The sequence below is a fragment of the Homo sapiens genome, chromosome 13, assembly GCF_000001405.40.
Source record: "Homo sapiens chromosome 13, GRCh38.p14 Primary Assembly".
NCBI classification, from domain to species: domain Eukaryota; kingdom Metazoa; phylum Chordata; class Mammalia; order Primates; family Hominidae; genus Homo; species Homo sapiens.
The window spans coordinates 72,679,968-72,696,396 of NC_000013.11; positions in this window are offsets into that span (position 1 = coordinate 72,679,968).

Below are 16,429 nucleotides of genomic sequence, written 5' to 3' on the forward strand. Positions count from 1 at the left end.
TGAAGTGAGTCTATTTAGTGTCATTTTATTGTACTTGGTGCTAATATCCATTTGTTTTGCTCCATAAATATTAACACATTTGATCACAGGATGCTATCCTGGATCCCACTGGGATGTTTTATAATATATGGCATATATTCCTTTTTACCTTTCTACAATTTAAAATGTTCAGAATTCCAAAGCACAAAAGATTTTGAACATGTAGAAGTTTTGTGCTCTCCACTGGTTAAAATCACCATTTATCATGGCAAAAATATTTTTCCCCCAAACTGTAATACCATCCTGGAGGGATCATTTTCCCTAAAGGTTTTAAAAATTCAACTTGGCAAGGAAATGACAGTTACTAAATATTTCACTGACTGTCTCAGGAAAGTTATTAGAGATGATGGAGGAGAAGGTGCGTATGTTTCTATAGGGGTAGCAAGAGGAAGGTCCTTGTGGTGATGGAAGAGTTCTTTACCTTCCTTTTGGTGGTGGTTACAAGAACCTACACATGTGATAAAATGGCTATAAAACTATCTATAGATGAAATAGAACTACACACACACATAGTACCAATGTCAGTTTCCTGGTTTTGATATTGAACTATAGATATATAAGATGTAAACATTGGGGGAAACTGGATGAAGGATGCATAGGAACACTCTTGTCTTAGTCCATTTGGGCTTCTATAACAAAATATCATAAACTGGGAGGCTTATAAACAAAAGTTATTTATTTCTCACCATTCTGGAGGCTGGCAAATCCAAAATCAAGGCACAGTAGATGTGGCATCTAGTGAGGGTCTGCTTTCTGGTCTGTAGATGGTACCTTTACTGCGTTTTCATGTGGCAGAAGGGGTGAACAAGCTTTCTGGGGACTCTTTTTTTTTTTTTTTGAGACGGAGTCTCGCTCTGTCGCCTAGGCTGGAGTGCAATGGTGCAATCTCGGCTCACAGCAACGTCCGCCTCCCAGGTTCAAGCAATTCTCCTGCCTCAGCCTCCTGAGTAGCTGGGATTGCAGGCACCCGCCACCATGCCCAGCTAATTTTTGTGTTTTTAGTAGAGACGGGGATTCACCATGTTGGTCAGGGTAGTCTCGAACCCCTGACCTCATGATCCACCTGCCTCGGCCTCCCAAAGTGCTGGGATTACAGGTGTGAGCCACCGCGCCCAGCCTCTGGGGACTCTTTTAAAAGGGCATTAATCCTATTCATGAAGGCTCTGCCCCCACGACCTAATCACCTCCCAAAGGCCCCACCCCCTAATGCCATCATCTTGGGGGTTAAGATTTCAACATATGAATTCGGAGAACACAAACTTTCAGACTATAGCAACTCTGTACTATCTTTGCAACTTCTTGTGAATCTGTAATTTTTTCACAATAAAAGGTAAGAAAAAAAAATTCCACAAGGCAAGGAAATGACAGCTCACTTTTTAATGAGTCTAAATGCTTTGCTTACTGTCTCAAAATGCTTTGCTTACTGTCTTCATTTTCTCAGCTCCTCCAGGCATCCTGAGGGGAAGATGTAAAGAATCAGAGCCAGAGGATAAATGGTGACTCTGTGGGTCCCGGAAACCCTTCAAGATCTTTGAAAATAAGGACTGCTATATCATTCACTATGTGTATCCCCATTCCTATGCTACAGGTAACCTATAGGCTAGCCCTTTGGACAATTTCAGTATTAAGGTCTTAAAGGTCTCAACTCTGCAGTACAGGGACTTCCTGTAACAAAATTAATTATGCTGAGACAACTTGTTGTCTGTGATTTACCCTTGGCTCTACCCTCCATATTTCCCTTAAGTCTAAACCATGTGAAGACTTCCATCCAAGAAATTAGGTATTTTTAATATTTGCATAGCTACCAAACTGAAATACCACTTTCCTATGAAAAGGTATGCTTTATTTTTTTAATCACATTAGTTATACCAAAACCTTCTGTACCATCTACTTAGTAATATTTACTTTCTTTATTAAATTTCTCTAATTACTCTTCTTTCAAAAAGCTAATAATCCCTTAAAAATTCTAAATTATATAATTGTATGAGAACTTTTAAAATAATTTAATATTAAAAATAAGAAGGAAAATCTAACACAGCATAAAGAATGAGGAAGGAGTGGCACAATGAAAAAGAATGAAACTCTCAAAGAACTCTAAGAGGATTTTGCAATATAAAAGATTAGCAAATTCATCTAAAGACTTCCCAGTCTCCACATGAGAGTGCCTATAAGATACTACAGCCAAAAGAATCACCCCAAACACAACTAGAAAACAAATTCACAGATAGTAGTATCATTGGCAGTGAATTAAATAAGTAATACAGTGCAGTTCATTTTTTAATTCTTTAAACTCTAAATTTTTTTGTTTATATTTTCTTTGGGAAAAAAAATCAGTGAAGGACTAATTATCAGTTTCCATAAGAAAAAGAACAAAGTCCAATGATGTGCAAACTAGAACCAAAAATTGCAAACCATATTATTACCACAATATTTAATGCACCATTATTTGCAATGTAGAAAAATTATAATCAACCTAAATGTCCATCAAAGTGGATAGAATATTGTTTAGCAGTTTAGAAATAAAAAGTTCCACATACACTTATTAACATGGAGAGATGTCCATGGCTTGTTACAGGACTAAACACAATTTGTTCAATAATATGTATCATATAATCCTATTCTTGCAAGAAAAAATAGGATTTTATGATATGTGTGTATTTGTACACATATACATATAATTATGGCATATGAGTAGAAAAAAGGGCAGAATGACAAGCACCCTGTTGTTAACATTGATTACCTCTGTGCATTGAAATTGGAGAGTACATTAGTTATTGATTGCTGTAAAAAAATTATCCCAAAACACTGTAGCTAAAAACAACAAACATTTATTATCTCACAGTTTCTGTGGATCAGAAACCAGGGAGCAGCTTAGCTGGGTAGTTCTAGACAGAGTTGCTCACAGAATGCATACAAGGTGTTGCCTGGGTCACTTCAAAGCTCCCTCTCCCAGGGGAGACCCCACTGTTGGTCAGCTTCAGAAGATCTGCTTTCAAGCTCATTCCCCAGGGCTACCTCAGTTCTCCACGTGGCCCCTCATCTCCCAGGATCTCTCTTCTCCATGTGGACTCTTCAGAGCATAGTGAGAGCCAGGTGTGGTGGCTCACGTCTGTAATCCCAACACTTTGGGATGCCAAGGCGGGCAGGTAACTTGAGGCCAGGAGTTCGAGACCAGCCTGGGAAACATGACAAAACCCCGTCTCTACTGAAAACACAAAAATTAGCCCTTCATGTGTAGTCCCAGCTACTCAGGAGGCTGAGGCAGGAGAATCCACTTTAACATCCCCCACCAAAGTGATACATTTGCTATAACTGATGAACCTATATTGACACAACGTCATCACCCCAAATCCATAGTTTATATTATACTTCACCCTTGGGGCTGTACATTTTATGGATTTGGACAAATGTACCACATGTATCCAGCAGTACAGTATCATACAGAATAGTTTCAGTGTCCTAAAAATCCCCTTCCCTTCTTTCTAATTTCTTTGTTTTTTTGTTTTGTTTTGAGGTAGATTCTCACTCTGTCACCCAGGATGGAGTGCAGTGGCGTGATCGCAAGCTCACTGCAACCTCTGCCTCCCAAGTTCAAGCGATTCTCCTGCCTCAGCCTCCCTAATAGCTGGAACCACAGGTGCACACCACCACGCCTGGCTAATTTTTGTATTTTTAGTAGACACGGGTTTTCATCATGTTGGGCAGGCTGGTCTCAAACTCGTGACCTCTGGTGATCTGCCTGCCTCAGCCTCCCAAAGTGCTGGGATTACAGGCGTGAGCCACTGCATCCAGCCCCTTCTTCCTAATTTCCAACAGTCACTGATCTTTTCTACTGGCTCCATAGTTTTGCCTTTTCCAGAATGCCATATAGTTGGAATCCTAAGTATGTAGACTTTTCAGATCAGAGCCAGACTTTTACTTTTACTTATAATAGGCATTTAAGTTTCCTCCATCTTTCATGGCTTGATAGCTCATTCCTTTTCAGCACTGAACAACATTCCACTATTTGTCCATTCACCTCCTGAAGGTCATCTCAGTTGTTTCCAAGTTTTGGGAATTATGAATAAAGCTGCTATAAACATCTGTGTGTAGTTTTTTTGTGTATACATACATTTTCAATGTTGTAGGGTAAATAAAAAGGAGGAAGATTGCTGGATTGTATATATGGTATACATATGTTTAGTTTTGTAAGAAACTTCCTTCCAAAGTGTCTGTAACACTTTGCATTTATATGGCCAACTAGCCTTATATATTTATACAGGATTTTTAAAAAATTCAACACCAGTTGAAAGGAATCTGATGCAAATATTTTGTGTAATTCGCAAATAGTTCAATTGATAATATTTTTAGTTAGCAGTTTTCATTACTCCAGGGCAAATTGAGATGAATGAACATCTACTAAGTAATGAGTGATGTATATGCATAAATCAATTCAGGAGAGACTTTTTAATCATTTTAACTATTGCAAGAAATTTATGTCATTATTAGCGATCATTATTAGGGATATAACAACACACAAACAGAAGTTTTCATCTTTCTGGGAACTTAGAAACATTTAATATCCAATCCTCCCTGTGTCTACTAGAGTTTACTCTTTATACTTGGTGTTTTCATCAATATAATATTTTGTCACAGTACTATTCTTTAGTCAGCAATGGCTTTCCTGGAGGGGCAGTTCAAAGTGGTGCTTAAAAGCATAGACTCTGGAGCCAGATTGCTTGAGTTTAAATCCCAGCCTGGTCATTTCCCTTAGGCAAGTTACTTAACCTGCCTATGTCAGTTTTCTCATTCATAAACATGGGGGAATTATAGTAATAATATATACTCTTGTAAGATTTTTTAAAGGACTAAATGATTTAATATACCCAAAACTCTTACAATAATACCTTGCTATAGTTGTAACTCAATAGTTGTCAGACATTATAATTATAATTATTACTTATATCTAACTTACAAGAAGGGTTAACATAAGCAGATTTAATATGAAAACACTTTGTTACAAATTAGAAGCATGTCCCCTGGTATGGTTTACTCTGTGTCCTCACCCAAATCTCATCTCGAATTGTAATCTCCACATGTCAAGGGAGGGTCCTGGTGGGAGGTGATTGGATCATGGGGGCAGTTGCATGATAGTGAGGGAGTTCTCACGAGATCTGATGGTTTAAAAGTGGCAGTTTCCCCTACGCTCTCTCTCTCTCCTGCTGCTGTGTAAGAAGTGCCTCGCTTCCTCTTTGCTTTCTGCCATGATTGTAAGTTTCCTGAGGCCTTTCCAGTCATGCAAAACTGTGAGTCAATTAAACCTCTTTTGACAACAGATGTCTTGAAACAGTGTTATGAATCGAAGTAAAAGGAGGGAGAGTCCAACCAGCTTTTAGGTTTGGCACTCCGCCTCTTTTGATTACAAGTTGATGTGCCCTGGACATTGTACCTATTGTCTTCTCCATTTTTCTCCAACATTTTGAGGAAGGACGTTTCACAGACTGAAAGGAAATACAATGCAGTTTAGAGATGAAAAGGCATATGGGCCTTTACACATGTTGTTTCCTCTGTTTGGACTCTTTTCTTTTTTTAACCAAACCTCTATGTATATGGCAAACTTGATTTTCAGGTCTTATTTAAAATTCACGGACTCCAGAAAACAACTTTCCAGATCCCTCCAAAATAGATATGTGTTCCCTTCCCTTAGGCAGTTACACACTTAGTCCATTTTGTGTTGCTATAAAGAATGCCTGAGGTGGGGTAATTTATTTAAAAAAAAAAAAGAGGCTTATTTGACTCATGGTTCTGCAGACTATACAAGAAGCATGGTGCTGGCATGTGCTTCTGATGAGGGCTTCAGCTGCTTTCACTCACAGAAGACGGTGAAGGGGAGGCAGCATGTACAGAGATCACATTACGAGAAAGGAAGTGAGAGAGATGAGGAGATGCCAAGCTCTTTTTAACAACCAGTTCTCACAGGAACTAATAGAGTGAGAACTTAACTCATTGCTATGAGGATGGCACAAAGACATTCATGAAAGATCTGCCTCCATGTCTCCATCACCTCCCAACAGGCCCCACCTCCAATATTGGAGATCAAATTTCAACATGAGGTTTCGGGGGACAGACATCCAAACTATAGCACACACTGAATTGGAATAGCTTATTTTTAGTCTTTACTAGTTTGTGAGCTCCTCCAGAATAAAAGTTTCTACTCCTCTTTGTATCTGCACTGACATCTTTCATGCCTTGCACACTGGAGGTACTCAATAAATACTGGTCAAATGAATGAATGAACAAAAGCAAGGACTTTGAGGAGGCAAAAAGATGATTCTTCAGTCCTTTCTTGTTCTCTTTGTTTTGCTTTGACTTGGAACTGAGCACACCCTGGTCCTTTGTCCCTTAGAAATAGAGCTAATGTTAAGTCCAGAGAAAAAGATGGTACGAAGCTGGCTGCAAAGAGCCCTTCTGGTCCAGGCAACCTGGAAGAGAGTTCTCAGCAGAACCCAACCATGCTGGCACCCTGATCTCAGACTTCCAGCCTCTAGAGCTGTGAGAAATACATTTCTGTTGTGTATAAGTCACCAAGTCTGTGGTATTCTGTTGTAGCATCCCAAACAGACTAAGACAGCAGGCGAACAGATATAGATCAAATAGAGGAATGAAAACCCCAAACATGCACACTCAATTAAAGTTCACTTTTACAGAGAGAAGATCTGTCCTCTACAGCCACAGTGGATAAGGGCAAATTAGGAATAAGAAAGAAGCAATCTTAAGAGCAGAAAGAAAGTTGGGCTGTCCACTGGGTAAGTTCTCTTCCTGCCTGCCAAGCAGGCCATCTGTGAGACCAGTCTGAAAATACACAGGCGAAATGGTAGAGAAGCTGTCCATCCCTTGTTATCATTGTTATTGCTGTTAAAAATTCAGCATTTTTATGGAAGGAGTTGGTTTCCGAATTAGAGATAAGCAAATACCACTATATTCCATTTATGGAAATCAGAGCTGAGTAGTTAAATGCACTGAAAGAGACCATTTTCTAGCTCAATAGATCTAAGGAATTCTTAGCTTTTAAACTCGGTTTTATCAGATGGAAGGAAGTAATATTGGAGAATAGAGGAGATTAAATGTCAGGACTAAGGCCATATCTACATACAGCAATCAAGTTAGCCAAAGTGGAGTGAACTCAATATGCTTTGTTGTTTCCATGATGAAGCTGTGCAGTCATCAACCATGTCAACTGTTCATTGATCCAACTTAGTCTCTTAGAAACAATCCAGTCAGCTCTGTAGTAATCCAGTGACTTTGGTTATAATCCTAAATTTGTTGTCTTTTGTCTTCCTTTAAAACTTCATAAGGAAACACAATTCAGTTAAAATGACCAAATCTCTTGAAGACTGAAAACTAACTTCAAATACAGGATTTCTGCAAACTACAGATGCTTTCCAGAAATGACTGCTTACTTAAACATACTCATTAAGGTTCACATTTTTGTTTTAATTACTGAACTTTTCTTATGTTATGTATTTTTCTTTGAGTATATAGTTTCATCATGTTTGTCAAATTGCCTCATAAGCAAAATGGGTTTTGGCAACATTTGCCTACCTTTTTATATAGCATGATGAACATACAGTTCTCACACATAGCATAACAGTAGAAACAAATGTCCAACAACTAATAACATGTCCATAGTTATGAATTGACCACATAAATAAACAGACTGTCCATTTTCCTGTTCCCATTTTATGAATGTATGATTCAATTTTACTTCCTTTGATGTCAACCCTTAATTTCTCCTCTAGTCTTCTCTAGTCCACATCATCTTGCTTTTCCCATTTTCTCACTTGCCTACATGCATGCAAAAGAAATTCATAGTAAGAGCCAGCATTTATGCACTTTATGCTACAGGAACTGTTACTTTCTTTATAGACCATATCTTTTTTCCCAGTAGCGCTAAAGAGAGCTACTATTATTATCATATCTATATAAGACATGAGGACACTAGGGCTGACTAAGGTTTAGCTATTTATTCAAGTTCACACAGGCAGGGTGTTTAGATTATTGTTCAGCAAAACTCTCTTCCCTTCCCACCGTTGCATAGTAGACATCTCTGCATTATTGATGTTGTACTTGACCATAGGATTTGCTTGGGTCCATCCAATATTAGCAGACATGATGTGAGCAGAGGCCTTAAATATGCATCATGAATTTGGCTTGTCTCTTTCATTCTGGTGATCTGTCATGAGAGGAGTATGTTTCATGTGAACGCTCCTTCTTCATTGTAAGCCACATAATGAAATATAGACAGCAGAACTCCTTCCCTAGGAAGTCAATGGTCCCAGGAGTATCAAGACTCATGGTATAAACCTGAGTTAAACCTGTAGCCTAGAAACCAGAGCCTAGCTGAGCCAAGTCGCCACTGACTTGCAGTCCCATGAGCAAGGGAATCAGTGTCAGTTGTTTGATGTCACTAAAATTAGGGTCATTTTGTTGCTAGGAACTGAATGTTTGTCTACCCATGAAATTCATATGTTCATATGTGAAAGTCTTAATCTCCAATGTGATGGTATTTGGATGTGGGGGCTTTTGGAGATGACTCGGTGATGACGGGGCAGCCCTCATGAATGGGATTTATGCATTTATAACAACACAAGTAAAGCGATCTCTCTCTCTCCACCATGTGATGATATAGCAAGAAGGCCGCTATCTGCAAACCAGGAAGAGAGCCCTCACCAGGAACCACATTGGTCCACACCTTGATCTTGGACTTCCCAGCCTTCAGGACCATGAGAAATAAATCTCTGTTGCTTAAGCTGCAGTCTATGGTATTTTGTTATAACAGCCCAAACTGACTAAAACACTAGTGGTGCAGCATTATTGAGGAGATATTAGATAGTAAGTTGTAGAGCAGGGATGCAAACCTATATCTATCAGATGCCAAAATGGAAGCACTCACATCTTACTTGATACTGCCTATGTGTGAATTGATAGAATAAGGGATTGAACACAAGATGTATAGCTTCAAAGTCTGAGGATTATAGGTTAAGTGATTTTTAATAGTAAAAAGGAACATAACCCAAGACAATGAATAGGGAAGATCAGGGCCTTAAAAGCATCTGGGGAAAGGAGATAATATCTATGACAAAGGGCCTCCCATGTTCAGACTTCACACCCACACCCCTTCTTCCACACTGCTGACCCAACCTGCACCTGTGGATACCACAGAGAGGACAGAACCAATATATATTGGTTCTGGCCCAAGGAAAGCACACTGCTCTAGAAAAATCCTGGAGTTACTATTTTGCATATTTTTTTCATCTTTCACTTTAAAGGATTAAAGAATACTTCTGCACATATTTCCACTGGTTGCAAGGATCCAGAAAACCACTTATGAGTCAGTATTTTACAAATGTTCAAATGTAAGTGGATTCTTTTTGATAGCAGCATCACTTTCTGATGGGATAGGAACCCAGAAATTCACAATAGTGGTTTTCATTAAAGAGCATTCTTGGCACTTTTTATGGCAAAAATTATTAGCACTTGTCTTTTGGCAAAATTCCAAGCTAAGAAATGATATCATACCTGTTTATGCTCCTCCCATGATTTCAATGTCATTCTTCTTGCTTTCTTCCTTGAAACAATGTGACATTACTATGAATGCCTAATTCACTTCCAAAGTCAGTGAGCCATGGTTTCTCTTTTCTTAATACCAAGGCTTTTAGAGTTTTAATTAACTAATCATTATAAAGCAATCGTATGAAAGGAAATACAGTATTTATAACATTGATATCAACTGATTTTATAATACTTAAAGTCAGTAAGATCAGTAAAAGAGGCAAATTAGGAAACCTCCTAGTTCTACTGCAATTCCATCACTTATGATATTTTAAATAGTTTTTGCCAGCATTGAGGCTTCTCTAAACAAGACTTACTGCTTAATCTAGATTTCAGGTTCACTTGATTAAAGATAGAAACACTTTAGAGCAAGAATGAGTGAGCCTAGATTTTATTTTACTTTGGGTTGCTAAATTTATTAATATCACGCATGAACCTGGAATTTATTATAATGCCTGAAATCATGCCTTCCCAGAGGTTGAAAGTGCTCCCTAACTCATATTAGTCATCGTGTGTGTGTGTGTGTGTGTGTGTGTGTGTGTGTGTCCGCCTGCATGTGTAGACAGTGAGACAGAGACAGAGATAGAGAAGCAGAGAGAGAGAAGAACAGAGATTTTAAGAAATTAGCTCAAGAAATTGTGGAGGCTGGGAAGCCAGAAGTCCTCAAATCAGGCTGGCTGGCTGCAGATTCTAGTAGGAGTTGAAGTCTTCAGTCTGAAAGCAGTCTAGAGGTTATGGAGGCTGAGAAGTTCTATGATCTGCCATCTGCAAGCTGGAGACCCAGGAAAGCCAGTGGTATAATTCAGTCTGAGTCCCAAGGCTTGAGAACCAGGGTAGTTGATGGTAGAAATCCCAGTCTGAGAGCAGGAGAAGTTGAAATGAGATGTCCTATCTCAAGTGTTTAGGCAGAAAAAAGGGGGCAGATTCGTTGATCTTCCATCTTTTGTTTTTTTCAGGCCCTCAATAGAGTGGATGATGACACCCGCATTGAGGAGGACAATCTACCTTACCCAGTCCGCCAATTCAAATGTCAACCTTATTTGGAAACACTTTCATAGAAACACCCAGAAATAATATTCAATCTGGGCACCCCATGGCCCAGTTAAGTTGGTACCTAAAATTAACTATCACACATGGCAAAATGAATTTTGGAGATATGATTGAGTTAAATTTTTTGAAATGGGGAGATTTTCCTGCATTATTTGGATAAGCCCAATGTAATCACAATTCATTGTAAAAAGGGTGCAGGAGGATACAGAATCAGGAAAGAACGGTGACAGTGGAAGTGGAAATTGGAGTGATATCCTTTAAAGACAGAAGAAGAAGCCACAAGCCAAGAAATACAGGTGGTCTCTAGAAGCTGTAAAAGGCAGGGAAACAAGTCTCTCCTAGACCTTCTAGAAAAGCTGCAGCTCTGTTAGCACCTTGATTTTAGCCCAGTTTGATCCATGTTTGCAAAAGCAGTGTATTAATAATAGAAAAGGTAGATATTTCTAGCAAAATTTTAGTACAACCTCTACATCATTTTTATTGGGATTTAAAAACATATACCATTATTTTAAATAAGCACTACACGTCTGCAATTACCAGCTAGTATCTTTGTGAGTGATTTCAGTTATGATAGCCATTAATCATGTATCCAAAAAACTTCAGGCTCTTGCCCTCTCATCATGTGATGCCCTCTGACACGTTATGATGCAACATGAAGTTCCTCACCAGATGCTGGTGCCATGGTATTGGACTTCCAGAATTGTGAGCTAAATTATGAGCTCTTTTCTTTAAAAAACAAAAATCAAAAAACTTCAGAATCATTTCTTCAAATTATTTAATTACAAATGGGTAGGTCAAATTTCAAAAATAATATTACATGTCTATTTGCATTGAGAGCCTATCTTAGTCTATTTGTGCTGCTATAAAGAAATACCTGAGGCTGCATAATTTATAAAGAAAAGAGGTTTATTTGGCTCACTGTTCTGCAGGCTATACAAGAAGCACAGCAATGGCATCTGCTCAGCCTCTGGTGAGGGCTTCAGGCTGCAACCACTCACAGCAGAAGGGAGCCAGTGTTTGCAGAGATCATGTAGAGAGAGAGAGGTGGGAGGTAACAGGCTCTTATTAACAACCAGTTCTTGAGTGAACTAATAGAGTAAGAACTCAATTTTTACCATAAGGACTGCACCAGCCATTTATGAGAAATCTGCCCCCATGATTGAAACACCTCCCAATAGGTCCCCACCTCCAACATTGGGATCAAATTTCAACATGAGGTTTGGCAGGGTCAAACAAACCAAACTGTAGCAGAGCCTAACTCTATTAGTCCATTCTCACTCTTCTATGAAGAAATAACCGAGACTGGGTAATTTTAAGGGAAAGAGGTTTAGTTGACTTACAGTTCCTCATGCCTGGGGAGTCCTCAGGAAACTTATAATTATGGCAGAGGCACCTCTTCACAGGGCAGCAGTAGAGAGAATGGGTGCTGAGTGAAGGAGGAAGCCCTTTATAAAAACATCAGATCTTGTGAGAACTCACTCACTAGAATGAGAACAGTATGGGGAAAACCAGCCCTATGATTCAATTATCTCCACCTGGTCCTGCCCTTGACATGTGGGAATTATTACAATTCAAGGTAAAATTTGGGTGGGGACACAGAGCCAAACCGTATAACTAACACACCACAAAACCATTGCTAAGAATACTGGTTGATATAGTTTGTATATTTGTCCCTGCCCAAATCTCATGTTGAATTGTAATCCCCAGTATTGTAGGTGGGGTCTTCTGGGAGTGATTGAACCATGGCTGTGGATTTCTCATGAATGGTTTAGTACCATCTCCTTGGTGCTGTCCTCATGATAGTGAGTTCTTGAGAGATCTTGTTGTTTAAAAGTGTGTGGCACTTCCTTCCAACTCTCTTGCTCCTGCTCTGGCCATGTGATGTGCCTGCCTCCCTTTTACCTTCTTCTATAATTGTAAGCTTCCTGAGGCCTCTGCAGAAGCTGAGGAACTTATTGGGAACTAGAACAAAGGTCACCCTTGTTATGCCTTAGCAAAGAACCTGGCTGTGTTGTGTTCATGCCCTAGGGATCTGTGGAAGTTTGAACTAAAGAGTGATGATTTATAGCATCTGGCAGAAGAAATTCCCAAGCAGCAAAATATTTAACATGAGGCCCGGCTCCTTCTAATAACCTACACTCAGATGTGGGAGCAAAGAAATGACTTAAAGTTGGAATTTATAGTTAAACAGAAAGCAGAGCATAAAAGCTTAGAAAATTTGCAGCCTGGTCACATGGCAGATAAAGAAAAAGCTTTCTGGGGAGAGGAATTCAAGCTGGCTGTGAAGCAAGTACTTGCTACAGAAATCTGCATAACTAAAAGAGAGCCAACTGCTAATAGCCAAGAGAATGGGGAAAATGTCTGGAAGGCATTTTGGAGATTTAAGTGGCAGCCCCTCCCATCACAGGCCCTGAGGTCTAGGAGGAAAGAATGGTTTTGTGGGCCAGACCCAGGGCCTCACTGCCCTGCGCAGCCTTGGGAAATTGCTCCCTGCATCCTGACCCCTTGGCTCGATTTGTGGCTCAAAGTTCCCGGATACAGCTCAGGCTGCTGCTTCAGAGGGTGTGAGCTCTTCGCCTTGACGGCTTCCATGTGATGTTAAGTCTGTAGGCATACAGTGCAAGACTGAATGAGGCTTGGCAGCCTCCATGTACATTTCAGAAGATGTATGAAAAAGGCTAGGTGCCCAAGCAGAAGCCTGCTGCAGGGGCACAGCCCTCATAGAGAACCTCCACTAGGGCACTGTGGAGGGGAAATGGAGACCCCACACAGAATGTTATCTTGTTTTATATTATTCTTGTACATGTCCTGTCTTAGACCTTAGATGATACCTTTCTTTTTTTTCCTTTTCTTTTTATTTTCTTTTTTTTTTTTTTTTGGAAACAGTGTCTTCCTCTGTCACCCAGGCTGGAGTGCAGTGGGGTTATCTCAGCTCACTGCAGCCTCCACCTCCTGGGTTCAAGCAATTCTCATGCCTCAGCCTCCCAAGTAGCTGGGGTTATAGGCACGTGCCACCACAGTTGGCTAATTTTTGTATTTTTAGTAAAGACAGGGTTTCACCATGTTGGCCAGGCTGGTCTCGAATTCCTGGCCTCAAGTGATCCGCCTGCCTCAGCCTCCCAAAGTGCTAAGATTACAGGCATGAGCCACTGCATCTGGCCTAAATTTCTTGATGGTAATAATGTTCTTATTTACAGATGTAGTGAACGTATTAATGAACACCTACTGTGAGCCATTATTATTTTTATTCATATTAACATCACACAACAAAATCACACAACTAGTCATCCTGGTGGAGCCAGGGCTATTATCTAGGCAGTTCGACTCCAGAAACCTGGCTCCAAACCACTACCTTATGCTGCCCTCTCATGTGTGGGCGCTCAACAAGTACTTGTTGAATAAGTGAAATTTAACCCAGGCAAGCTGGGTTAGTATTTCTGAGCTAAACACAGTTTCTCAGAAGACCACACAAGTGTTTAAGAGGTCACGAGAAATGACTGGCTAACCATAAAAAAAACAAAAACAAAAACAAAAAAACACGACAGAACCCCAAACTGAGACTCCAAGTTAGAAGGCTTGTCTAGCGCACCAGTTTTCATGCACCTGGTTGGCTAAGAGGGAAATCTTAGATGATGAATGGAGGGGAACACACAAAAAAAAGTGGGATCCAAAGCAATGGGCAGTTTTCCACATCATTATAGCCGTATTTTGTAACAATTTCTTTGGCAACTGACAGCAGGCATTTAAATCAGCTATTTCCTCCTCAGAATTCCTCTCCAAAGAATAATAATGGCCTCTGCAGCTCTGAAGGAAATGTAGCCCCTACTCGGATACAATCTTATCTGGGAAATTGCCGTGGTATTCGTCACAGCTGTCACTGCTCTGAGCCCATTAAAGATGTGCTGAGTGTAGATCCACAGGGTCCTGTGCTCGGAGGAGCCCTGCTACACATTCTTCCCAGGTTTCAGCAGAAAGACAAAAACCACTCGGTGTGCTGGGGGCAGAGTCTCCTCAGAGCTGGGTCAGCACGAGAGAGCCATTCGTACAGTCCTAAAGAAGTTACTCTATGGCTCGGGTTATAGATATAGAAAGACACTTGCAGTGACACCATTGAGATGGGCAGAACACAAGAAAGAATTTATGCAAAAAGCCCAGATTTTTATTTCTTTATTTGGAGAGCAAAAGGAGAGCTGAAGACCTAAAACATTGGGGTGAGGGCGTCGGCCTTGAGACTTTGCACCAGAGTTCTTCTCAGTTTGTTTTAGTTGAATAGTGAGCTGCTTCAACCTCTATTCTTTACAGTAAAAAGCTGAAAGTCTAATCCTTGATGATATGTCATTTAAGAAACTGGAGCACAGACTGACTGGGGTCCCACATTTAGCATCCAGTAGGACCTGAGGTGCCAGAAGTAAGACCAATAGGACTTTCTAAAATTTGGTTCTGCAAGGAAATAATGCTTCTGCAAATCCAATGTAATGTTTCTTCATACAAAGTACCCCAGATCAGATTCTCTTTCATTCTAACATTTATATTTGTTTTTAACCCACAGTTGCCTTTACAAAGAAACAGGCATGAAAAATAGCCTTCCACTCAATATGCCAAGGAAGATAATTTACTCAGAAATTACATTGTCCTGGAAACTAATTTACTGCACAGCTTAAATGTGAGCAGCTTATTCCCAGAAAGTTATTGACTCACCTTGACTCAAAATAAGATCAAGTATCTTTGCCATCCACAGCACAGAGTTTTCTAAGCCAGAGACCCCAGGACTGTGTATAACTTACTCTCTAAGATAGCAAGCCACTTGGAAGTCACTACGGATGTGCTTTACATCCACCCTTCTCAGAACACAAGACCCTCCCTAGATCCCTGAGGATTGTGGGCATTCCTAGCACACTCCAGAGTTTTACTTTTTTGTTTTGTTGGTGAGGAGGCAGTTATGCAAAGGTGGGAGAGAAGTGAGCTCGGGTAACACCACCACCATGATAACTGTCATGAAATTTCATCAATTCTTTCACTGCTTTCTGTTTGCTCACCCCTCCCCGACTCTCTCTGTTGTACTTTCATTGTAAGAGAAGAAGCCATGTCTCTGTTCCCACCACCATTCCTGACCTGGAGCGAACATTCAACAAACGTTTGTGGACTGAATGAATGATGGGACTTTACTCCATTTCATCACTTCCCATTTTCCATTCTCTATTTTTCCTCCTTTTTTGCTGATGGTTCACTCTTTATTTTTTTGGAAAGCCAGTTCTAAGATAAACAGTAGCAAAAGCAATAGCTGAAATAAAGACAAAAGACTTAGTTTCTTTGAACTGTTTTTATTTTACAATTTGATATTACATTATTAAATTATGTTACTGTTTCCTAACACATTTTCCTTTGTGTAACTCACTTATCACCATTTGGCTCCTTGTAGGTGCATAAAATAATTTTCTCTTTGATTGTAATGAACTAGAGTAAGGGTACAACTGTCTATGCAGCTCTACTCAAGTGCCTAGTAAAGTAGTGTAATCACAAATGTCTCTGAAGAATGACTGTAGATAAATGACAATGGCACACAAATACAATGGAAAAAAGCACATTAGAATTACTGGCATGCTAAGAAAAGCTATATACTGTATTTAACTTTTGTGCTATATTTACCTAGTCCTCACAGCTTTTATCTTTTTTTTTTAAGAGAACATTTTGAGTTTACAGCCGTGATTTTATCACTTTTTAAACTTATATTATTATCCCTACCTGCACT